This window comes from Homo sapiens, chromosome 8 (genome assembly GCF_000001405.40).
Source record: "Homo sapiens chromosome 8, GRCh38.p14 Primary Assembly".
In the NCBI taxonomy this organism is placed as follows: Eukaryota; Metazoa; Chordata; class Mammalia; order Primates; family Hominidae; genus Homo; species Homo sapiens.
The window spans coordinates 140,734,666-140,760,672 of NC_000008.11; the positions used below are offsets into that span (position 1 = coordinate 140,734,666).

A 26,007-nucleotide genomic window follows, 5' to 3' on the forward strand; every position below is an offset into this window, starting at 1 on the left:
ATGGATGTTTTAAATATAAAAACAGAAGTATTCAAAAGGTGGCAAAGGAGTAATTCTCTCTTTCGGGGCAGGGTTGATTAGGAAGCCTTCCTGAAGCAGGTAACATCTGAGCTGGGTTCTGAAAACTGAATAAAAGTTTATAGGTGGCAAAGGTCAGGAAAGGGATTTCTGGGAGTGAAGACAGCATGTGAAAACGCAGTGAGCTGTGTTAGGAGAATTATAAGTAGGTATTGCTGGATCACAAAGTGTGAGGGAGACAGAGATGGAGGGTTGTGTTAGATGAGATTAGTGAGGAAAGCCGGGACTAAGTTATTACGGGTCTTGTAAGCCATGCTAAGTCAGAAGCTAGGGGAGAGAGATTTGACCATAATTGGAGCTTTATTAAAATTTTAAAGATATAATTTACTTAAGACTCTAGCAAGGTACAAAGAAATGCAAATCAATTTTAAAAGTAATTGCATTTGAACGAAAAATAGTTCGGCCTTAGACATACTGATATAATGACCTTAAAATGCTATTACTGCAAGGAGGAGAAGCAGCATAATCTGCCCCCACCCCCAGGCCCTCTCTCCCGCCAACTCCTACCTGAGCTGAGCTTTAAGTTCAGTAAACCTGGGCCGCCTGCTGGGGTCATAGGCCCAGCATTTCGTCATAAGGCTGTAGAGGGTAGGAGGACAATTTGGAGGCATTGGTAATCTTTCCCCATTTTCAATTCGACCGATTACATCATTGTTCTTCACTCCTTGAAAAGGCTTCACACCATGCATCAGTATCTCCCACATACACACACCTGTCAAGTGGGAATGAAAACACAACAGTGAGCTCAGTATGAAGAATGTAACTCCCAGGTTCCAGGAACATTGTTCTTCTAGGCACTCGAGTACCAGCTGGGAGGTAATGGGCAAATTATCTACCAAAGCAGCATTATATTAACTCTAGTATAAAATAACCTAACGATTTAACATGATGTAAATAATGAAATGTTAAATTATTATCAAGAAAAATGCTGTAATTTTTCTCAGAGGTTTATTTTTTCTCTAGAAATCCTCTATTAGAAAATCACCCACTAGCTACAGTGGTACTTCGTGGCTTAATGCAGTAGTTCAAAAAATGCTGAATTTTAATCCGCCCCACTTTGGTCTCATCTATTTATAATTAGAGCAGCTGACCTGAGGTCCAATAAAGAAAATCCTAGGATAAGTCTTACGCTTTTGGAAAACTCAGATTCCTTAAAATGCTTCCCTTAACAAGGTTGGCCTCTTCTTGTCTAGAGTGCATAAAGGCACCATTATCTGGTTTATTCATGGACTGGTCACTGTTTTCCCCCAGGAAAGATGTGGAACTTCTTTGGGCTTCAAGTCGTCTTGTCTATAAATGCCACAGTGTGACCTCAAAAAGTTTACTTGCACTCTACCCTTGGGAAATCCAATACTTTCTTAGTATCTTCTGAATAATCCTTAAAAATTCACCTTTAAGATGGGATAAAGAAAATGTAGTACATATATGCCACGGAATACTATGCAGGCATAAAAGAATGAAATCATGTCCTTGGCAGCACCGTGGAAACAACTGAAAGCCATTTATCCAAAGTGCATTAATGCAGAAACAGAAAGCCAAACACTGCATGTTCTCACTTGTAAGTGGGATCTAAACCCTGGATACATATGGACATGAAGATGGGAACAACAGACAGCAGGGAATAAAACAGCAGGGAGGGAAGGAGGTGGGTAATGGTTGAAAAAGTACCCATTGGGTACTATGTTCACTATTTGGGTGATAGGTTCAACTGAAGCCCAAACCTCAGGACTGTGCAATATATCCATGTAACAAACCTGCACATGGACCCTCTGAATCTAAAATTCAAAAAAAAAAAAAATTTAAAAATTCACCTTTAAAACAAACAAGAAACCTAAAACTGGCAATGAACATATAATGCAATGTAAAGGAAATGGAAAGAACTGGTGGCGTAAAGGATGGATGTTTTCTCCTAGTGCCTTATCATCACTGCTCTGCGCCTGGCTATTCTGGGCTTCTTGCTACCTGTGGAACACGCCAAAAACATCCCTTTACCTTCCTCACAAGCTCTCTTCTTTGTAGGTACATTTGTAATGTAGTTCTTTATAATGCTTTTCCTCTGGGAAAAGTTTTTGTCATTTCAAGTCTACTTCTATCACAAAACAATGTACAATTGATGACTTGAAGAAAGGAACTGTGACTTTATTTTTGCATCTTTAGAACCTAGAATGAAATCTGCCTCAAAAGAAGCAAAGCATATTATCATCTTGATGTGAATTAGATTCTGAACTTAGCCAAGAATCCAAGAATTTCAAAGTAAAGAGTATCTGACAAAAAAAATGCCTTAGTGCTGCTTTTCTCACCAGAAGTTACAACAATATTATCAGTAGTAGCAACACTGGATATAATTTCTTGAGAACTTAATGTGTTCCTGGCACACTTCTTAGAAATTTTACAAATATATATATTTTTGAGACAAAGCCTCCATCACAGCTCATTGCAGCCTCCACTACCCAGGCTCAAGTGATCCTCCCACCTCAGCCTCCTGAGTAGCTGAAACTATCGGCATGCGCCACCCAAACCAGCTAATTTTTGTATTTTTTGTAGAGATGGGGTCTTGCTAAGTTGTCCAGGCTGGTCTTGAACTCCTGGATTGAAGTGATCCTCCCTCCTTGGCCTCCCAAAGTACTAGCATTACAGGCATGAGCCACCGTGCCCAGTCTCATATATTACCCTTAATCCTCACAGTAACCTTATGTTTCTTTAAACACTGCATTTTACCACATTTGACAAAAATCACATCTACTGATTCTAGGAAACTTTATTAGTTTATAAGACCAAAAAAGGGAGGAGAATGTTGAAAACTAAAGTATGATACAATTCTTTCTTCCCTCTTAGAATTTTTATTTTATTCTTACCAAAAGAGTTCTTTTAAAGTCATTCAGACATTACAGTAACAACAATATTAACAAAACAAACTCTACTTGAGTGGAAAGCAAGGACAACTACATTAAAATAATGCTTCCAATTATTACCAACTGTAAAATGCCACTGATTTTAAGATACACTCCAGTTCCAGAAATGTTAACATGTAAAAAAATAGGCATCTTAGAAGTTTTGAAACATGAAATTTCTCTGAAAGGATAAGTTACTTGCTCTGTGGATCACACAGATAATAATCAAGGCCTTGGGATTTGAACACACATCAACTGGACTTCAGAGCTTTTTCTAATCATGTCATGCCATATCCTGTTCTATTTGAAAGTTCTTTCCTTTACCTAGTTATCTATGGGGGCATTAAATGATAATTAAGAATCAACAGTAAGTAAACAGAAGAAAAAAATAAGAACACATACTGGATCAAGTTATTTTTATTTATAGGAGAAAAAAGGTACATAATCTTAACAGGGCATCTCCTCCAAAGTAGTTTCTAATGTAGCAGAGATAACATGTCCACAAGTCTATTCACAGGATCAACATGAGTGGTATGACAAAGAGAGAAAGTGTAGGAAAGGTAAAGAAAGGAAGAAGCCTTCAAGGACATTTAAGGTGGACCTTGAGGGTTAGGTAGGATTTCAACTGGAAGAAGAAGGTATCAGGATAAGGTATTCTGGGTAGAAGGAATAACACCAAGAAAAATGGAGAGTAGAGTGGAGGGAAGTGCCATTCATGTTAAAAATAGTGAGTAATTTAAAAATTTGGATAAAGTAGTTTAAATAAGTAGCAAAGAATAAATGAGAGCCACACTTCTACACCAGCTAGAAGGAACTGCAATAACCATAGAGCAGGAGAATGATGACCTTGCAGCAGGTGAGGAGGAACAAATGAGATTATCAAAAAAGCAGAAGCTACAGAAGACAAAGGATCAAACTTCCAAGTCTTGAGATAGGTCAGGAAGGAGGCTGGACTCCAGAATAAAGAGACAAGGTAGAATTTTAGATACTTCCGGGTTGGAGGGGCCAAGTGTTTACTGTTTAATGTCATTCATATGAAAGGAACGAATGAGATGGCAAAGGGAGAGAGAGAAAAGAAAGAAGGAAATAAGCAAAATATCCCCCTGTGAGGAAAGAAGAGACAGCAAAGGGGAACAAAAAGGAAGAGTGATGGAAGGAGCTGGGCAATTAGAACTGTGGACCCTTACAGAAGCTGTGCCCAGAAGCTGATGCACAGTAGATGTCAGGCTATTTACTGTCAAATGAATCAAAAGAAGTCTGATGAGGAGATGATCAGGTTAGGGAAGGCAAATCAACCTACATATTCCAAAAAGAGATAATTTTTTTTTGTATAACATATGAAATATAATTTTTAAAGAATACAAAACTTTTAAGAGTACTCACCAAACATCCATACGTCACTAGCTGAGGTAAAACGTCGAAAATTGATTGACTCTGGAGCCATCCATTTAATAGGCAATTTTCCTTTGGAAGCTAGAAGATTAATTTTAGAAAATAAATTTTCCTTGTTATCTGCTTAAGAATCTAACAGAGCTAGCTGAGATTTTCAGTATCAAAGGAAAAAGCTTTAACTATTTGAACCCTTGAGGCTTCCATTTATTTGGGAGAACTACTTTTCATTTCCTTGGTGTTTCGAGGTCACTTAGGGGTGAGGAATGGTTAGATGGTAGATAAATAAAATACCAATGTCCTTCCCTCTATAGAGAGGCAAAGAACAGGGAGGGAGAGCAAACCTCGGTTTACCAGGGGTTTAGGTGCAGGTATTAGGTGCAGCTCTGGTATATAAGATTTCACAATTTACAGAAGAGATCCTTATCTGTAGGTTAGAATGCTCGCTATACACATGTCCTGCTAATAATAAATAATATATAGTCGATCCTCACTGGTGGTAGTTATGTTATATAAAGTTGTTGCAAACACAGAACCCCTGCTCTCAGGAGAAATATGTACACATATATTCGTATCTCACATAGATTACAATCTTCACTCATAAAACAACTCATTCTGATAGGTTCCATTTCCTTTAGAAAAGGAGGCTCAGATGTGTTAAGTGACTTGCCCAAGGCTGCCCCACTAACAGGTGCCAGAGTTGGGATTCAAACCTCTCCAACCACCAGAGCCTGAGCTGCTGGCTCTGCCCTGTGCCGTCCCCTCCCAGCCCTGACCCTGTCTTCCCTCCTCTGGCTGCGACAGGAGGGAGAGACTGCGGCCTTGCTGAACCTCAGCTGCATATGTGGGTATTAGGGAATACTCAATTTTTTTGTTGCTTTGTGCATGTCCTCAAATGACTATGAAAGCACCTTGAGTATTGATTTTGGGAATTACAAACATGTTAGCCACTAGGTGAATGCATCAGCGCAGACTACACAAATAATCAGGCATGTGAAGAGCAGGAAGGGGCAATGGGATAAGAAGGACTTCTCTAGGGAAGCCTGAAATCAGCTCCCTTTTCAGGCCTAAACGTTTTCTTTGTGCCACAAAGGCAAACCACTCAAAACCTTAGTAAACATTTCCTCAACTGCTGAGTTCTCAAGATGAACAATCCCGAGTCCTTTTTTTCAAGGAATGCTCATTCTAAAAGGCAGACAGAAGTATACTCAAATTTGGTACAAGGTGTAACACAGATAGTGAATACATGCCAAGTGTCCTGAAAGTAGAGAGGAACTAATGACTGAGAGGATGACCAGGGAAGGCTGCAGGGAGAGGATATAAGAGGAGAAGGGGTTGGTCAAGGAAGCAGGGCACAGGAACAGCACCCTGATTCAGAAGAGCATGGAGCATGAGCGGCTGGGCTCTGCCAGCATGTCAAGGGTCTGGACTTTCTTCTGTAAGCAATGAGTTGCCTCTGAAGACTATCAGAATTCCTAGAAAGAGGAGCATTTTGAAGAATCTCTAACCTTTTGGAGTTTGTACTTATTTCTATAGCCTAATGGAATGTACACTTATTAACCTTTCTGAGAAGATATCTGTGTGAATTTGTCAACTGCCTGTTTAAAATGTTGTTCAAATGATATGAAAATTTGGACATCATACTACTTGGAATTTAGCTCTTTATTGGAATTCTAGGACTTGGGACAGTTAAGATTGAAGCTGGATATAAAATGTATTTAGAAATAATGAAAAGTTGACTTCGTCTTTTTAAAGTTAAATGACTAAACAATTAAAATGAATAAACAATTGATTTTCTTTTCATATATCAAAGGATCATTTAAAAATAGTGACAGGTAGCTGGGCACAGTGGCTCATGCCTGTAATCCCAGCACTTTGGGAGGCCAAGGTGGGAAGATCGCTTGAGCCCATGAGTTCAAGACCAATCTAGGCAACAAAGTGAGATCTCATCTCTACAAAAAAATCAAAAAATTAGCTGGGCATGGTGGTGTGTGCCTGTGGTCCCAGCTACTCAGGAGGCTGAGGCAGGAGGATGACTTGAGCCCAGGAGGTTGAGGCTGCAGTGACTTGTGCTCATGCCACTGCACTCCAGCCTGGACGACAGAACGAGACCCTGTCTTAAAAAATGTTTTAATTTAAAAAATTAGGCCAGGCGCAGTGGCTGACGCCTGTAATCCCAGCACTTTGGGAGGCTGAGGTGGGCGGATCATGAGGTCAGGAGATTGAGACCATCCTGGCTAACACACACAGTGAAACTCCATCTCTACTAAAAATACAAAAAATTAGCCGGGCGTGGTGGTGGGCACCTGTAGTCCCAGCTACTCAGGAGGCTGCGGCAGGAGAATGGCGTGAACTTGGGAGGTGGAGCTTGCAGTGAGCCCAGATAGCGCCACTGCACTCCAGCCTGGGCGACAGAGTGAGACTCTGTCTCAAAAAAAAAATAATAATAATAAATAAAAATTAAAAATGAATTTAAAAAATAAAATAGTGACAGGCAATAATATACAGAAGACATATGGAAAGAGAATAGTTATAAGATTAAAATAACAGACTAGCTTTGCTTGTAAAAATCTGGGCTCATTTTGTTGCCATATAAAAATCAAATACCCTAAGAAAGAAACTGGCCTTTGTAAAATGGTAGTCATAATTAGTAGTATTAATAGCACAATATGGATTTATCTAAACCTTAGCTAAAGTTCTAGGAATATGAAAACATTATTCAGTAAAATATTAGTTCAGTAACAATTTGAAGAACCAATTCAATGTGATTCCAAGATTGGCAAAATTAAACACAACTGACATGAGCTAGATTTCAGTTAAAAAAACTAATGGAGGCTGGACATGATGGTTCATGCCTGAAATCCCAGCACTTTGTGAGGCGGAGGCAGGAGAATAGCTTCAGCCCAGGAGTTTGATCAAAGACCAGCCTAGGCAACACGGCAAAACTCCATCTCTACAAAAAATTAGCCAGGCATGGTGGCGCACGCCCGTAGTACCAGCAATTTGGGAGGCTAAGGTGGGTGGAATGCTTGAGCTCAGGAGGTCGAGACTGTAATGAGCCATGTTTGCGCCACTGCACTCCAGCCTGAGTGACAATGTGAGACCTTGTCTCAAAACAAGCAAACAAACAAAAATCCCACCAAACTAATAGATCCAAGGTGCTGGAGTTAGCAGCCTGCATATTTTTCAGTCAGATCCCCTTCACTGAGGCAATCAATACAACCAGCCGCATCTGGTGTAAGATGATGGTGTGTCTACTGATTGAAAGACATTGGAGCTGATTTGAATTTCTGGCTATTACAAATACAACTGCAATGAACATTTGAGTATGGTTTTGTGTACAAGTTTTCGTTTCTTCAGAAGAAATGTCCAGACGTGCAACTCCTGGGTCATATAACACTTGTATGCTTAATTTTTAAAGAATTTGCCAAACTTTCTTCCAGAATGCCTCTACCATTTTACATTCCCAGCAGCAATTTAGTTTCTCTGCATCTTTGCCAGCATATTCTTTATTTTAACAACTGACAGGTATGTACTGTAATCCCATTGTGTTCTTAATTTGCATTTTCCTAATGGACACAGATGTGGAACATCTGCATCTTCACATGCTTATGTGCAATCCATATATCCTCTTCAATGAAATGTCTCTTCCTATTTTTTTGCCCATTTCTAAGTGCATTCTTTGTGTCATTTTTACTAAGTTTTAAGAGTTCCTTTTATATTCTAGATAATAGCTTTGTCAGATACGTGTGGCTGGCACGAATCTTCTACTCTGTAGCTTCTCTTTTCATCCTTTTAACAGGGTCTTTGGCAGAACAAAAATTTATAATTTTTATCAGGTTCAGTTTATCAACTTTTTCCTTTTATGAATCCTTGTTTCTGGTGTCAAGTCTAAGGATCCCTGGCCTAGCCCTAGATGCTAAATATTTACTCGTGTTTTTTTCTAAAAATTTATTATTTTGTAATGCAGTCTATAATCCATTCTGAGTTAATCTGAAATGGAATTCAGAGGTTTAAACTGAGGTCTATTTTTTGCCTAAGGATGTCCAACTGCTCCAGCACCATTGCTGAGAAGGCTGTCGCTTCCTCCATTTAGTTGATTTTATATCTCTGTCAAAGATCAGGTGAGCATATTAGAACATACTGTTTTTAGAAATACGTTAAAGATTCCAAGCCTATTTCTTAGGTACTACTCTGATTTCTTACCTTTGTAGTAAGTACTATCTTCCATATATCGGGATAATCCAAAGTCTCCTAATTTTACACAATCATTTGAGGACACCAGAACATTCCGAGCAGCAATGTCCCTGATAAAGAAGAATTTGAGACAATAAGACTTAAAATAAGAAAAACAAACATACAAGCTCATATATAAAGACATACCAATAGGCACTTTGAAAGACAGCTTATATACAATGCGAGCAGATTATATGATATTTATTATAGGATATATATAATAAATCTCATATATACACACACACAAAATTTACTTCATATATATTCTTTTTGCCAGATATTTACCCATTAATACAATGATTATTCTGAATGATGGCAAAGTACATTCTAAAATAATGAAAATCCTTATTACTGTTCATAAAACCATACTACCAACGGCATTAACTGACAGTGATATACAACTGGGGCCTATAACACTGCCATTACTAAAGAGATATCATTAAATAAAAGTTGCCTTCTGAAAACTTGTAAATGATTTTGCTGATGCAGCTTATTTTTTTAGATGCTTAGTTTTTCTTTTCTTTTTTTTTTTTTTTGAGACAGAGTCTCGCTCTGTTGCCCAGGCTGGAGGGCAGTGGCACGATCTCGGCTTACTGCAAGCTCCGCCTCCTGGGTTCACACCATTCTCCTGCCTCAGCCTCCCGAGTAGCTGGGACTACAGGCGCCCGCCACCATGCCCAGCTAATTTTTTGTATTTTTAGTAGAGATGGTGTTTCACCATGTTAGCCAGGATGTTCTCGATCTCCTGATCTTGTGATCTGCCCGCTTCGGCCTCCCAAAGTGCTGGGACTACAGCTATGAGCCACCGCGCCCGGCCTATTTCTTTTTTTTTTTTTTGGATGAAGTTTGTATTAATGCCGGATAACAAAAACACCAATTCTAATATGATACTTGGCAAACAAATTTTAAGGGTCTTTACTTGCATTCAAACAGAGACTCAGGCTATAAACAGAAATTCCACAGAATGCCAACAGATGTCACTCATAAGGTTGTGTTGTCCTGGAGAGTTCCAGGACAATATTTGTTTTAGAGACCACTTCCACATGTTCACTGCTCTGCTGCCAAGTACAGGTTCTCTATAGTGTTTGTGTAGGGAATAAGTGACCTGAAAGTATCACAATGTTTTAAACTCCACGTGTGTAAAAATCCTGTAAATGTGTATTAACAAGCCATGGCATCTCACTCTGATAGGACATAATGCAGCATGACTTGCTATTAACTGTGTACAATAGATTCCAATGGTATACAGAATACAATTTTGTAGAATTGGTACAAAACTGTACCAAAGGGGACCCTGGATCCAAAAGGGTCCAAAGACGGTCCAAATGGGTCCCTGTTTCTTGATCACTACTTTTCAGAAGGGAACTTAACAGCTTTATGACTGTATCTTACCTGTGTACAAATCTTTTGCTCTCTAGATATGCAAGAGCTGTACTAAGCTGATAGGCATACAGGATCAAAGATGCTAGATCCAAACTGTATTTCCTTACTTGCAAAAATGACCTCAGCTTTTGGAACAATGACCAAAAGAAAAAAAAAAAAAAAAGAATTAGTGGCAGTGAATCGAAATCAAAAGCAAAAAAGCTACATTCAACAATAATGCTGTTTTCAATGCATTTTTAATAATATTAGAATGGCTTCAAGTCTCTTCTAATAAAGCATAATAAATGAAACATTTAAACTCTGGATTCAGATTATTTTTTATTTGAAATCCTATCATGAAATTAAAATATTTTTGACTAACGACAAATTTCTTAAAAAATATAGAAAGATAAGCTTCAATGGAATGAACAAAAGCACAGTACAAATTATTGCTAAATAATAATAACAACTGGAAGAAAAAAGATCTAGTTACTATCCAAACAAGGCTAATACACAGTCAGTTATCTCCACTTCAAACCTTACTGTGGCTCTGCGAAGGTATGAGGATAATGTAATGCGGAGAAAGCAGGGACAAGAAGGAATCTCCCCTCTTATTTCCTTCCCCATGAAGTTTTGGATGCAGAAGCACAGAACAGTCATGTTGGGTATTTATCACAATGTACTTACTTGTTCATGCTACCACTGACACCATTAATAGAGGTAAATGCTGACATGGCAAAGAAAGGCAGACACAATTAATACCCTAATTCTAAATAATTGATGAGAGAAATATTTAGCCATATTTTTTGAGCCGGAAGAATTAGCAAACTCTCCAAAAGCAAAAGCAGAAAAGTACCGTGAACAAGAAATTATACATAAGCACTCCATTTGATTTGGTGGAGGAGGAAGAGATGTTCAGCTGATGAAATCACACAATGCTCCCCCGGCCCAGTGTTTGATTCAGCAGGCCTGGGATGGGGCACAAGAACTTGTTTAATGAGTTTCCAAGTGTTGGTGATGCACTGATTTGTTTCTGTATTCTGGAGAAAGTGAGAGAGCTATTCACTCAATTACTCACATTTTTAAAAGAAAGTACGGCCATGCACGATGGCTCACACCTGTAATCCCAGCACTTTGGAAGGCCAAGGCAGGCAGATCACTGGAGGTCAGGGGTTCGAGACCAGCCTGGCCAACATGGTGAAACCCTGTCTCCATTAAAAATGCGAAAATTAGCTGGGCCTGGCAGCACGTGCCTGTAGTCCCAGATACTCAGGAGGCTGAGGCAAGAGTAGTGCTTGAACCTGGGAGGCGGAGGTTGTAATGGGCTGAGATCGCGCCATTGCACTCCAGCTTGGGCGACAGAGCGAGACTCTGTCTCAAAAAAAAAAAAAAGAAAAAAGAAAAAAGAAACTGTGATTTAAATAAGTTGGTTTAAAAGGTATTACTAGCCAGGTAATCAGAACACTTTGCGAGGCCGAGGCAGGCGGATCACTTGAGCCAAGGAGCTCAAGACCAGCCTAGGCAACATAGTGAAACCCCGTCTCTATAAAGAATTAAAAAATTAGTCAGGCATGGTGGCATGCACCTGTAGTCCCAGCAACTCGGGAAGTTGAGGTGGGAGATCGCTTGAGCCCAGGAGGTCGAGGCTGCAGTGAGCTGTGGTTATGCTACTACACTCCAGCCTGGGCAACAGAGGGAGACTTTGTCTCTCAAAAAATGAGATGCTACAAAGTGAATTCCCAAAAAGATAAAGGAAATGTTTAGACTTACCTAAATTTAGCATTAATTTACCCAAACTCCATTAAGATTGCTTCATCCTCAGATCACTGGGCTAGTTTTTTAGGCAATGGCACCAGAGAGAAAAAATAAAACCAAACATTTGGCCATCTGCGGCTACCAATCCTGATAAAGTACTTGGCTGGGGAAGATATTGCTGCCAGTACTGCATAAGGGGATGCTTTGGGAATTTAATGATGAAGATATTTATACCCATATTCTCTGAACCAAAACCATAATGACATACATCCTAAATCAGAACTCTCCTGAAAATCCAAGATATAAACTGTTTATATTTTCCTTTCTTAAGCAAAAGATATCAAACGCTGAGTCCAGAAGGTAAGATTTGGGGATCACAGTACCTCTCCAAGTGTGCACAGCTCCATGATTATCCAGACAGGATTCTCTGTGATGACTCCAATCAGCTTCACAATATGAGGATGGTCAAACTGACGCATTGTTACTAGGAAAAAAGTTCTCCATAGTTATTCTTTCTTTTTTTTTTTTTTTTTTAGACGGAGTCTCATTCTGTCACCAGGCTGGAGTGCAGTGGTACAATCTCGACTCATTGCAACCTCCACCTCCTGGGTTCAAGTGATTCTCCTGCCTCAGCCTCCCGAGTAGCTGGGACTACAGGCGCCCACCACCACGCCCGGCTAATTTTTTGTATTTTTAGTAGAGATGGGATTTCACCATGTTGGCCAGGATGGTCTCGATCTCTTGACCTCATGATCTACCCGCCTTGGCCTCCCAAAGTGCTGGGATTACAGGCGTGAGCCACCGCACCCGGCCTAGTTATTCTTTTGAAAACTCTTTCAGCTTCTCTGAAGATGAATTCAATTAAGACATAAGGCTGGCAATAGGGGAACTTTAAAACTCAATTCCACAGGTCAGTTCAGCTCACAAATGGGCATAAATTGGCACAAAAAGGTATGTCCTACTATTGAGGTGTAAGGTAACCTCTAAGAAAAATCCTTCTTTCCTTCTGCATATGTGGCAGGGGGGAAGAGGAAGAAAGAAGGAAGGGGAGGAGGAGGAGAAGAAAGGGGGGGGGAAGAGGAGGAGGAGGAGGAAGAGGAGGGGGAAGAGGAGGGGGAAGAGGAGGAGGAAGAGGAGGAGGAAGAGGAGGGGGACGAGGAGGGGGAAGAAGAGGAGGGGGAACGGGAGGAGGAGGAAGGGGAGGGGGAAGAGGAGGAGGAGAAGGAAGGGGAGGCTGAAGAGGAAGAGGAGGAAGGGGAGAGGAAGGGGGAGGAGGAAGAGGAGGGGGAGGAAGGGGAGAAGGAAGGGGAGGAGGAGGAGGGAGGAGGAGGGGGAGGAAGGGAGGAGGGGGAGGAAGGAAGTAGGAGGAGGGGGAGGAAGGAAGGAGGAGGAAGGAAGGAGGAAGAGGGGGAGGAAGGGAGGAGGAGGAAGTGAAGGAGAAGAAAGACGACGACAACCATTTCTTTTTTCCTATGGACATATGTGACCTTGGGGTAGCTTCCTAGGTTTTCCTCTAGAAATCTGGTAAGTAGGAGTGTGTAATTCATTTACTAAGCAACCATCTTTACAGTAAAAATCACTCCTGACTGGTGAATTGCTGGGGGAGGAGGTGAAATGGGATTAAAAATACCTGGTGGAAAGCTATAGCTAGAAGCTGCCCTGAGTGTGGAGACTATGGTAACTGGGTGTGTTCCTTGCAAGGCCCTGGAAGCCACAACCCATGGGGCACTCACAAAGGATTTCTATCTTAGACATAAATGGTTCCTGCATCCACCACTGTGGTCCTGTCCTCTTAAATTTAACTGGTTGCTTTCAGGGCCCTATAAAAGACTTTCTACTGGGCATGGTGGCTCACGCCTGTAATCCCAGCACTTTGGGAGGCCGAGGTGGGCCGATCACCTGAGGTCAGGAGTTTGAGACCAGCCTGGCCAACATGGTGAAACCCCATCTTTACTAAAAATACAGAATTAGCTGGGCGTGGTGGTGTGTGCCTGTAGTCCCAGCTACTCAGGAGGCTGAGGCAGCAGACTCACTTGAGCCTGGGAGGCAGATGCTGCAGTGAGCCGGGATTGCGTCACTGCACTCCATCCAGCCTGGGCGACAGACTGAGACTCTGTCTCAAAAAAAAAAAAAAAAAAAAAGTTTCCAGGACAGCCGTGAGGACTTTCACATGAGAGAAATGCCAGCTGCTGCCTTTTTTGGCATACTTTGTTTATGGTCCTGTACTACTACTCTCAGGAGAGTCTGATGCTAAATGTGGCCTATGGCAGTAACATGAGTTTGACCGCCTAATTGAGCCAAGATGACCAAGAGGGCACTGCATATAGACATACATATCTGTGTGTGAACATGTATGTTAAGGTGTATGCATTTATAATTTCTAGTATCAGGGCTAAGAAGGTTACTTGTACAGTATACTAGGATTAGTAAGACACAGGACAGACTTCACAGAACTATAGGATCTCAAAACTGGAAGTGATTTTAAAGGTGACCTGGTCCAGTGGGTCCAAAAACACCTGATTTCACAGACTATAAAAATGGGGAAAAATAATTCTGATGCCAAGCAAGGAAATTAGAATAACAGAAGTAATTTTAAAAATACGATCAACATGTAATACTGCCAACATGTTACAGAATAGCTGGTATCGCCCATTGTGAGAAAAAACTGTGAAAGACTTTGAAATGGGCAAAACAATATTAGTGGGTGTTCTGTCTAGCTCACTTATGTGTTTTACAAGTTTTCCCTCATATTCCAAGAACAGGACCTGGTAGTTTTTTTCAACAAACATCACCAACAAAAACCCATATAATGTAAACACCCAGCACATAATCCAAAACATATAATTAAATCTCACCTTGTCACATTCAGTTCATTGCTTATACCATGATATTTTTGGATAAACACTCAGGCACCCAGCATATTCACAACCGTACTTTCAATTTACTGTAAGTAACTATTTATTATAACTTTTGGTTTTATGTTATTCTCACATATAATTATCAAGCCTTTCATATTTCCTCAGAAGTAATTATTAGAAACACAAAACAGCACAAGGCTAAGAGAGTCTTGTGGCCACTAGGAAACTCTACCCAAACTGAACTAAAAATCAACACATAGAATAGTTTCCCTTGTTATTTACCCATCTGGGGCAGAAAGCTAAGGCCCAGGGGCTGCCATCTGCTTTTGTAAATAAAGTTTTACTGGAACATATTCTTGCTCATTCTTTTCTGTCCTGTCTGTGGATGTACAATGACAGAGCTGAATACTTGGGACAGGGGCTGCATAGTCTGCAGAACCTAAAATATGTACTATATGGCCCTTTAAAGAAAAAGTTTAACAATTCCTGATCGAGGCCATATTTTTTCTCTTATATATAGCCTGGTAAAGCCCTACAGAAGTTTAGATACACTACATCTATCACATTTCCCTGAAATAACTGCTGAGTAACCTCTCAGAGAAGAAAACAATTAGTCCGACTTGACTACTCCTATAAAACTATATAACTGATTTTTGTAATGACAATTCCAAAGTCCTACAAAATCACAACATAGTAACTGTTCAGAATTTTAGGAAAAGATAACCAATTTTTAAAATTTTCATTTTTGAAAATATAAAATGCACAAGAATACCAGCAAAGGTAAGGCAGATATGGTGTTGGGTGATGATGACTGATGTGGTCTGTTTTCTTGGCCTAGGTGCTATGCAGAAATGAACTAGTCAAGACAGAAGTCATTGGCCAGGCCTTCTCTTGTACTTAAGTCAAAGTTTCAGGAATAGGATTAAGGATGTACTAAGACTTAATTAATGTAGTCACCACATGGCTTACTCTATGAATTATTAATTTATTGGACTGTTGGGTGGTATTTATTACAATGGAAAACAGAAGGCATTCATTTGATGCACATATAATGAAGGACACCAGAATGACAAACATCTACCAGGTGTTCTCTAGGTGTCAAGTACTGTGCAGGACACTGAGTATGGAGTGGTGAGCGAAACAAACATGGTCCTTATCCCCAGGGAGCTTAAGGCCTAGAGGAAGAGAGGAAGAGACAGGCAATAATCACTTGTAAACAATGTAGCTTTAATTAGGAATCATTAGGAAGAAAAAGAACTAGTCTTGTGTGACAAAAAATAGTAAGGGGAGACTTTAAATATGGTGGTCAGAAAAAGGTTCTCTATTGGAGGTAATGTTTAAGCTGGGGCCTGAAGCATGAGAAGAGGCAAACCATAGGAAAGGAGGAAGAGGAACATCACCGCTTGAGGGCAGGTAAGGAAGAGCTTGATGTGGACAAGATCCTTGCTCTTTAAGAGCTTACATTTGGGAAAGAAGACCTATTCATGCAGAGCTCACTCAAGGAAGCTTCTTCAGAGGAGGCACAAACCAAGAGTCAGAGGAATGGAGGTGGAGAAAATTATTTCTAAGGGCTGGGCACAGTGGCTCACGCCTGTAATCCCAGCTCCCTGGGAGGCTGATGCAGGCAGAGCCTAGAACTTTAGAATAGCCTGGGAAACAGCAAAAACCTGTCTCTCCACAAAACAAAAACAAAAACAAAAAAACCAACCAACCAAACAAAAATACAAAAAATTAGCTGGATGTGGTGGCGCCCATCTGTAGTACCAGGTATTTGCAGCCCCGAGATGGGAGGATCCCTTGAGTCCAGGAGGTGACACAGCGAGACCCGAGACAGACACTGCCTCAAAAAAAAAAAGATAAGTGTTTCTAGCTAAAGTCACCTGGGAAGCCGTCAGAAGAGTCCTTTCCTGAGGTCTCTTCTTGCGTGAAGTTTTCTTTTCTTTTGTTTTTTGGAGACAGGGTCTCATTCAGTCACTTAGGCTGGAGTGCAATGGCACGATCTTAGCTCACTGCTACATGGGCCTCCCAGGCTCAAGTGATCCTCCCATCTCAGCTTCCTAAGTAGCAGGGACTACAGGCATGCGCCACCATGCCCAGCTAATTTTTTTAATTTTTAAATTTTTTCATAGAGACGGGGTTTCACCATGTTGCCCAGGCTGGTCTCAAGCAATCCTCTCACCTCGGCCTCCCAAAGTACTGGGATTACACGTGTGAGCCACCACACCTGGCCTCCTTTTGGGTGATTTGTTCTTTTTCTTTCTTTCTTTTTTTTTTTTGAGGCAGAGATTGCTCTATTGCCCAGGCTGAAGTGCAGTGTTGCTATCTCGGCTTACTGCAACCTCCCTCTCTGGGGTTCAAGCTATTCTCCTGCCTCAGTCTCCTGAGTAGCTGGGACTACAGGTGCGTGCCACTATGCACGGCTAATTTTTTGTATTTTTAGTAGAAGACTGTTTCACCATGTTGGCCAGACTGGTCTCAAACTCCTGACCTCAGGTGATCTGCCTGCCTTGGCCTCCCAAAGTGCTAGGATTACAAGCGTGAGCTACCGTGCCCAGCCTGGGTGATTTGTTCTGATTTTGTAGCAGGACAAGGGGAATGGTCATAGAGCCCTATTCCTTCACTAGTCTATGAGCTCCATCAGGGCAGGGACTGTGTGTGTCATGCTCACCTCTGCATTCCTGGGGTCTGGGCAGCATCAACATTAGGATCACTTATATATCTGCACCAATTCCAGTGCAAAGATGTGTAATGGCCTAAGTACCAAAGTATAAAGTAAATGCACATCAATCTACCTTTACACATAAAACATGATGGTTTACCTGGAAAAATCTGTAGATAGGTGCTTGTACAAATTTAGACATTAATTTGCAAGGCAAAATAATAAACATAGTTGTCTCCTAAAAGTCAAAACACTATTTTTCTTATTTCTTCAGAGACAGTTTGGATTTCACAGATAGAAAGTCAAATGGAGTTCCACAGAAATTTCTAGACACTTACAGGCTTCTTGAAGAAATTTCTCTCTCACGCTGTCCGAAGTACAGTTTTTACATGTTTTAATTGCAACCGCCAAAGCTGGATTCTCCTGTGTTAGGGAAATTATAGAATCACACACACATGCAAAAAGGTTTGCTATATTAATTGATTCATGAAAACCTGTCTGTTTTGCAACTATGTGGGTTATGGACCAGACAGAATCAGAACGGCAAAATCTCAAGAATGAGAGGGATACTTAAAAACACTCAGTATAAAATCCCCTGAGAAAAATGGTCATGCACGTGAAACATTACAGCAAATCATTTATTCATTCATCTACAAACATGTGTTAGAGATACACCATGTGGCTGGTACTATTCTAAGTGCTTGGGATACACTGATGAACAGCAGAGGCAGCAGTCCCTGTACCTGTCACACTTACACTCCAGTGAGGAACACAGATAATAAATAAAGAATTAATTACATAGTATGTTAGAAGGTAACCGTGTTACAGAAAAGGGAGAGAGCAGATCAGGATATGGAGACAGGGATGGAGGCTGCTGTATGAGGGGGACCTCACTGAGCAGATGAGACAAGAGCAAAAAAACTAAAGGAGGGAGGAGAGGGAGCTGGCTAAGAAACAGCAGGGAACAGTGTATAGCGTGCTCAAGGAACATGAGCAAGCCAGTGAGGCTGGCACAGAGGGTGGAAGGTAGGAGGGTGAAGATGACAGAGTCAGAGAGGAACGGAGGGGCCAGACCACACAGGGCCTTCAAGGCCAATAGAAAGATGCGACTTTTACTCAAGTGAAATGGAGAGCCAAGGTAGGGTTTGGACATTGGAGTACCATGGCCTGACCCAAAATTTTGAAGGAGCATTCTGCTGTGGTACTGAGAAATGGCTGCAGAGAGGCAAGGTTAGAGACACAGGGAGTTCTGCGGGTGGCTACCACAGTACCCCAGGTGACAGGTGACAGGTGATGGTGGCTTGGACAAACATGGTAGCAGTGGAGGTGGAGAGAAGGGCTGAGATTCTGGTTATACTCTGAAGCTAGGGCAAAGGTGGCTCATGATGCAGGTGTGAGAGAGTCAAGTTCAGGTTTTTGACCAGAAAAACTGACAAGATGGAAGGGGAAGATCAGAAGCTCGGCCTGGGATGTAATAAGCTTGAGATGTCAGTAAGATAGCCAAGTCACACAGGTGAAGTGACCAGCAGGATACTGTGACTGGCGTTCAAGAAAGAAATCTGAACTGGACATAGAAATCCAGAAGTAGCCTAGCCCATGTGACTGGACGAAATCACCAAGGGAGATGAGAGAGGTCCAAGGACTGTGCTTTGAAGCTCTCCAACATGAAGAGGTCAGGGACAAGAGTGGAAAATGTCAAAGGAGACTGAGAAGGGGTGACCAGGAAGGCAGGAGACAAACCAAGAAAATGTGTTGCTCTGAAAGCCAAAAAGTCATTATGCACACTTACTATTGTCTTTCACATTATATCATTTTATATATTATAATTATACATAACACAGAGATAATATTGTCATTTACATAACTACTGTCTATTCTCCATCACTAAAATGTAAGTTTCAAGACAGCAAGTAACTTGCCTGTTTTGTCAAAAAATCCCCATTAGTATAGCACTGATGCATACTATATGCTCAGTAAAGATCTGCAGAATTAATTAATGCTATTAATATATTTCTTTTAAATGAAGATGTTCATTAATAAGTTAGATGTGTCATATTTTAAAAATACCTTAAATTGTGTTTTGCTTAACAAGTTAGCTGTCGCATACTTTCAAAATACCTTAAATACCTTTATTTATTTTAGACTTCACACTAGTTGTATACTATGTGTTTCCAGGAAATAAAACATTTTCAAACAAGAGAAATCTGAATGGTAAGAGAACTGTATCATCGACTCAGGGACTGCATTCCCTTTCTTCACCTCCAGAGGAGGCATGCCCATGTGCCAGATGCCTCAAGGAAGGGGTTCAGGTGGTAATGGTGACGTGGTCCTTGGAGGACAGAGTAGTTGGCTCACACAGAATGTGAACAAGAGCACAGAATACCCTATCTACTAAATGTTTGAGTTTACAACCTTAGAATCATTAACCGTATCTGTGCTAAAATATAACCACTTTGCTTTGAATGAGTCAGTCTTGTCTTCCTTAATTAGACTGTGTACTTCTTTAGGACCATGACCATGAATTCTTTTTCTAGCTAAATATGAGGCTGGCTGCAAGTAACAGGTATACGAGAAAACTGTATGGCTGGTATACTGTAAAACTGACCGAAAATGTCCATTTTATAGACGATCAGAGCAACAAAATCTTTGATAAGACCTTAAAACCATCATTAATCCTGTCAACTAATCAAATACTCAGTAAACATGGTGCTTTATTAAGACAGTCTAAGGAAATGCAAACAAAATACTGCTCTTTAAAGACCTAGGGTTTCAAATGAATGCTAAGTGTAAGATTCCATAGCTGGCAAATATACAAAATGCCAACATGAGCAGATTATGAGGCTCAGCCTTCGGTTTGGCGAATAGGACATGCGGCTAGTGGCCCCTAAAGTGGACAGCAGAGGTCTAGGGAATGCTGAACTGTTAGAAGGGCCAGTTACAGAGATCGGACTGCTGGAGAATGGGTCAGTTCAAAGTAAGTAAGACCAGAACGTGTGCAAAGGGTTTTTTCTAAAAACTAAAAAGTTACTAATTGGTAATTACTCAAAATAGATTTTTAAAATCTTCGTAAAATACAGGCAATATTTAGGGAAAAGAGAAGTTTTTCATTGTTCAATGAAAATACCACCTTGTGGCCACTATGCCTAGACAAGGGATGCAAGATTAGGCTCTGAATTAATAACAGCTAGTAGACGTTTAAAATATCTTAACAAATAAATGTAGAAAAAAGCTATTCTAGGATGAATTAAGAGAAAATTAGATTTAATAACGGATTTTAAGGCTGCGAATAATAATGAGAGAATGTGCCAGTGATCAGCAGGTGCTTGAAGGAAAGAAAAAACAAGCCTGATAATCTTGCCTAATAAAGAAAAAAATGTGTGCCAATCAGATAAACTTCATGTTTACTGACTCTCAGAATGAAGGTCAAAATTCTTACCTCAAGGTTCACATGGCCCCACACATGTCCCCTGGTGGCTCTCCTAGTCTCCAAAAGGTTTCCTTTTGCCTTCCCTTTGTTTCCTATCCCTCTACTCCGCGGCCACACCGTCCTCCTGGTGGTGTACTGTCCTGCCCCGCCTCATGGCCTTTGCACTGGCTGTTCCTTCTGCCTAGAACAGGCTTCCCCATGAGAATGCTCAAGCTCCACTCCCTGTCTTACTTCAAAGCTCTGCTAACACGTCTTGTCAGAAGTTCTTTCTGAGCATCCCATGTGGAACAGCATCTTGACCTCCCATTTTCCATGCATTGTTTTTCTCAGACCCTCTTGGGATTTAGCGTACGTCTTTTTTGCCTGTCAACTTGTGCCTTGGGTAGAATTAAGTTATATCCCCCCACCACCTAGAAACAGTAGCTGTCACAGAGCAGAAAATGATTACAAAATTGCTCAAAGAATTAACTGAACCTTAAATAAAGTATCCAATGGTTGGTCCTTGCCCATGAAATTTATGCCACGTTACATTTTGACCAATCATCAAGAATGCTTGATAAAATATTATTTGATTTTACAGAATACTAAAGAACATGTTCTAGAAAAAGGATTTATAATAGAAACTTAAGAGAAATGAACAGACTGCTTTGCACTATAAAATTAGACTCCCACATTAAAAACAAAACAAACATATACAATATACACAAGAAAGAAATTCAACAGGCCGGGCATGGTGGCTCACATCTGTAATCCCAGCACACTGGGAGGCCGGGGCAGGTGGGTCCCTGGAGGTCAGGAGTTTAGACCAGCCTAGCAACATGGTGAAACCCTGTCTCTACTAAAAATACAAAAACTAGCCGGGTGTGATGGTGTGTGCCTGTAATCCCAGCTAGTTGGGAGGCTGAGGCAGGAGAATCGCCTGAACCCGGGAGGCAGAGGTTGCAGTGATTGGAGATCACATCACTGCACTCCAGCCTGAGCAACAGAGCAAGGCTCCATCTCAAAAAAAAAAAAAAAGAAAAAGATATTTAACAAAATGTGAATCCTTGGGGACTGGAATTCATTCAACAAACATTTAGTAAACATTAGATTATGGGCCGGGCGCAGCGGCTCACACCTGTAATCCCAGCACTTCAGGAGGCCGAGATGGGCGGATCACCTGAAGTCAGGGGTTCAAGACCAGCCTGAACAACGTGAAGAAACCCCATCTCTACTAAAAATACAAAATTAGCCGGGTGTGGTGGCACCTGCCTGTAATCCCAGCTACTTGGGAGGCTGAGGCAGGAGAATCGCTTGAACCCGGGAGGTTGTGGTGAACTGAGATTGCACCATTGCACTCCAGCATGGGCAACAAGAGGGAAACTCTGTCTCAAAAAAAAAAAAAAAAGGCGGGGCGCGGTGGCTCACGCCTGTAATCCCAGCACTTTGGGAGGCAGAGGCAGGTGGATCACGAGGTCAGGAGATCGACACCATCCTGGCTAACCCGTTGAAATCCCATCTCTACTAAAAATACAAAAAATTAGCCGGGCGTGGTGGTGGGCGCTTGTAGTCCCAGCTACTCGGGAGGCTGAGGCAGGAGAATGGCGTGAACCCGGGAGGCGGAGCTTGCAGTGAGCTGACATGGCGCCACTGCACTCTGGCCTGGGCAACAGAGCGATACTCCGTCTCAAAAAAAAAAAAAGAAAAAAGTAAATTTAGATTATGGCTATTTTAAAAAATTATCTTGTATTTTCACAACTAAAATGGATTACGTATTTTAAAAGTGAATGAAATAAAGTCCACTAACCCTGCTATTACCTGTGTTTAAGTCATGGTACTCTGGGAACTTTAGAATGCTTACCTATCAGGAATTTTGGAGATTATAGGAAGCTCAGAGATAATTTAGTTACATTCCAGTAATGTAGTCACCTTATCTCCCCCAATCTCAAACTGAGGCAGAGCCAGATCTAAATTTGTCTGTTTGTTTCTTTTTCACTAAATTTGCATCCATTGCTCCTTCTACTCTACTTTGCCTCAAAGGGCAGAGTTAAGAGACTGTGGAATATAGACAATACACCCATAGTTAAAAAAAATTGAAAAAGGAGTAAAAAACAGCAAAAAATATACAACAAATTATACAATTTGATATAAGCACAAGAGTAAAGGCTTCCAAAAGTGAACTAATTTGGTTAGTTTACTGGTGGCAATTATCTGTTATCTTTGATTAAAAAAAACCCTTTTATAACTTTTGGGTTATAAAAGTAATGCTCAGAGCATCACTAGTACACGTGTAAAGGACATTAAAAATGCATAAACATGGAGTTACTGAAGAAAAAAATGGTCATTTGCAGTTTCCAAGCAGGGGTATAAAATAAGAGTCAATTTTCTCTGTTATTGTAACTTTATTAGAGCCATCTCTGTTCACCTGCTACTATTCTAGTTCAAAGACAGTTTCTTGAGCAAGCATGTCATGTGCCACAAAGTAACATTTTGGTCAATGATGGACCACATATACTATAGTGGTCTCATAAGATTATAAAGAAGCTGAAAAATTCCTACTGCCTAGTGACATGACAGAAATCAAATTTCTTATGTGATCATGGTGATGCTGGTGTAAACAAATTTACCGTACTGCCAGTCATATAAAAGTATAGTACATACAATTATGTATAGTGATTAATACATGATAATGATAATAAACGACTATGTTACAGGTTTTGTGTATTTACTATACTTTGTTTTTCTTTTTTTCTAATATACTACACTTTTAATTGTTATCTTAGAGTGTACTCCTACTTATTTATTTTTTAGAGGCAGAGTCTCACTCTGTTGTCCAGGCTGGAGTGCAGTGGTGTGAACAAGACTTATTGCAGCCTTGACCTCCTGGGCTCAAATGATCTTTCCTCAGCCTCCCAAGTAGCTGAGACTACAGGTGTGCACCACCAGGCCAGGTTAATTTTTAAAATTTTGTTTGAGACAGGGTCTTACTAAGTTGCCCAGGCTGGTATTGAACTCCTGGGTTCGAGTGATCTTCCTGCCTCAGTCTCCAAAGTGCTGAGATTACAGTCATAAGCCACAGCACCAGCCCCTTCTACTTATAAAACAAAACAAAACAAAACAAAAACTAGTTAACTGTAAAACAGCCTCAAGCAGGGCCTTTCGCAGGTATCCAGAAGGAGGCATTGTTGCCCTAGGAGATGACATCTCCATGCACATTACTGCCTCTGAGGACCTTCCAGTGGGACAAGGTGTGGAGGTCGAAGACAGTGATGTGGATGATCTCAACACTGTGTAGGCCTAGCCTAATGTATGTGTTTGTGTCTTAGTTAAGAAAAAAGTTTAAAAAATTAAAAAAATTTAAATAGAAAAAAGCTTAAAAGGTTCATGATGTAAAAAGGTTACAATAAGCTAAGGTTAATTTAGTATTAAGAAAAGTTTTTAAGATAAATTTAACGTAGCCAAAGCGTACAGTGTTTATAGCCTATAGTAGTGTAGTCATAATCCAGGCCTTCACATTTACTCACCCAGAGTAACTCCTAGTCCTGCAAACTCCATTCATGGTAAGTGCCCTATATGAGTGTACCGTTATTTTATACTTTATACTGTATTTTTACAGTACTTTTTCTATATTTAGATATGCAAATACCATGTGCTACAACTGCCCACAGTATTCAATACAGTAACATGCCATACACGTTTGTAGCCTAGGAGCAACAGGCTATATTATATAGCCTAGATGTGTAGTAGGCTAGACCATCTAAGTTTGCGTAAGTATACCGTGTAACGTTTGCACGATCATGAAATCGCCTAACGATGCATTTGTCAGAAAGTATCCCCATCTTTACACACGGCACATGATTGTACTATTAGTCTAAAGTGTCATTTAAAAAATCACCAATCTAATTTAAAAAGACATGCAATAACAAATGTTGGTGAAGATGTGGAGATCTGCAGTCTTATACGCTGCTGCTAGTAATATAAAATGGTACAGCTGTGTTGGAAATCATTTTGGCAGTTCATCAAAAAGTTAAACATTCCAGCCTGGGCAACATCATGGGACCCTGTCTCTAAAAAAAATAAAATAATTAGCTGGGAATGATGGCACACACTTGTAGTCCCAGCTACTTGGTAGGCTGAGGTGGGAGGACCACTTGAGCCTGGGAGGTTGAGGCTGCAGAGAGCCATGATTGTACCACTGTACTCCCTTGGTGACAGAGTAAGACCCTGTCCTAAAAAAAAAAAAAAAAAAAAAAAAGAAAGAAAGAAAGAAAAAGTTGGCTGGCTCAGTGGCTCATGCCTGCAATCCCAGCACTTTGGGAGGTCAAGACAGGAGGATCACCTGAGTCCAGAAGTTTGAGACTAGCTTGGAAAATGTAGAGAGACGCTGTCTCTACAAAAAAAATTAAATTAGCTATGTGTGGTGGCACTTGCCTGTAGTCCTAGTTACGAGGGAGGATAACTTGAGTTCAGAAAGTCGAGGCCACGGTGAGCCATGATTGCGTCACTGCACTCCAGCCTGACTGACAGAGCAAGACTCTCTCTCTCACCCACACACACACACACACACAAACAATAGTTACCATATGATGAAGCAATTCCACTAATAGGCATATACAAAAGAGAACTAAAAACATAAATCCAGGGCCGGGCACGATGGCTCACACCTGTAATCCCAGCACTTTGGGAGGCCGAGGCAGGCGGATCACAAGGTCAAGAGATCGAGACCATCCTGGCCAACATGGTGAAACCCCGTCTCTACTAAAAAAACAAAAATTAGCTGGGCGTGGTGGAGCGCGCCTGTAGTCCCAGCTGCTCAGGAGGCTGAGGCAGAAGAATCACTTGAACCTGGAAGGCGGAGGTTGCAGTGAGCTGAGAAGACACCACTGCACTCCAGCCTGGCGACAGAGCAAGACTCCGTCTCACCAAAAAACAAAACAAAACAAAACATATATATATATATCCACAGAAAAACTCATATATGAATGTTCACAGAAACATTTTAATAGTCAAAAAGTGGAAACAACCCAAATATTCATCAACTGATGAAAGGATAAACAAAAGGTGGTCTATATCTATACAAAAGAGTATTATTTGGCAATAAAAAGGAATGAAGTACTAACACATACCGCAACATGGATGAACCTTAAAAATATTATGCTAAGCAGAAGCTGATAATAAAAAATCCATATATTATATGTTTCATTTATACAAAATGTCCAGAATATACAAATCTATAGATACAGAAAGTGGATGAGTGGCTGCCAAAGGCTGGGGAAGGGTGGAATGGGAAGTAACTGCTGCTAATGGGTATAAAGTTTCTTTTTGAGGTGAAGAAAACGTTCCAATTGACAGTGGTGATAGCTGCACAACTTT

At 40.7% G+C, this 26,007-nt stretch overlaps 1 protein-coding gene across 173 annotated transcripts in view; it reads right to left on the bottom strand.

Moving 5' to 3' along the window:
* Positions 1-26,007, bottom strand: part of PTK2 (protein tyrosine kinase 2) — a 344,180-nt gene that overhangs the window by 76,766 nt on the left and 241,407 nt on the right. For 171 of the 173 annotated variants that reach the window (NR_148039.2, NR_148038.2, NR_148036.2 and 168 more), the window contains 6 exons: positions 17,567-17,651; positions 12,095-12,195; positions 9,987-10,102; positions 8,565-8,665; positions 4,353-4,442; positions 586-790 (listed from right to left, as the gene is read on the bottom strand). Coding sequence is in view for 166 of the 173 variants with exons in the window: in NM_001352699.2 (NP_001339628.1) it covers positions 586-790; positions 4,353-4,442; positions 8,565-8,665; positions 9,987-10,102; positions 12,095-12,195; positions 17,567-17,651 (698 nt within the window). In the remaining 7 variants the exon portion in view is untranslated. Of the gene's footprint in view, positions 1-585; positions 791-4,352; positions 4,443-8,564; positions 8,666-9,986; positions 10,103-12,094; positions 12,196-15,534; positions 15,745-17,388; positions 17,652-26,007 lie in introns of those variants that run through there. The other 2 variants (NM_001352747.2, NM_001352748.2) reach the window with 2 other exon arrangements.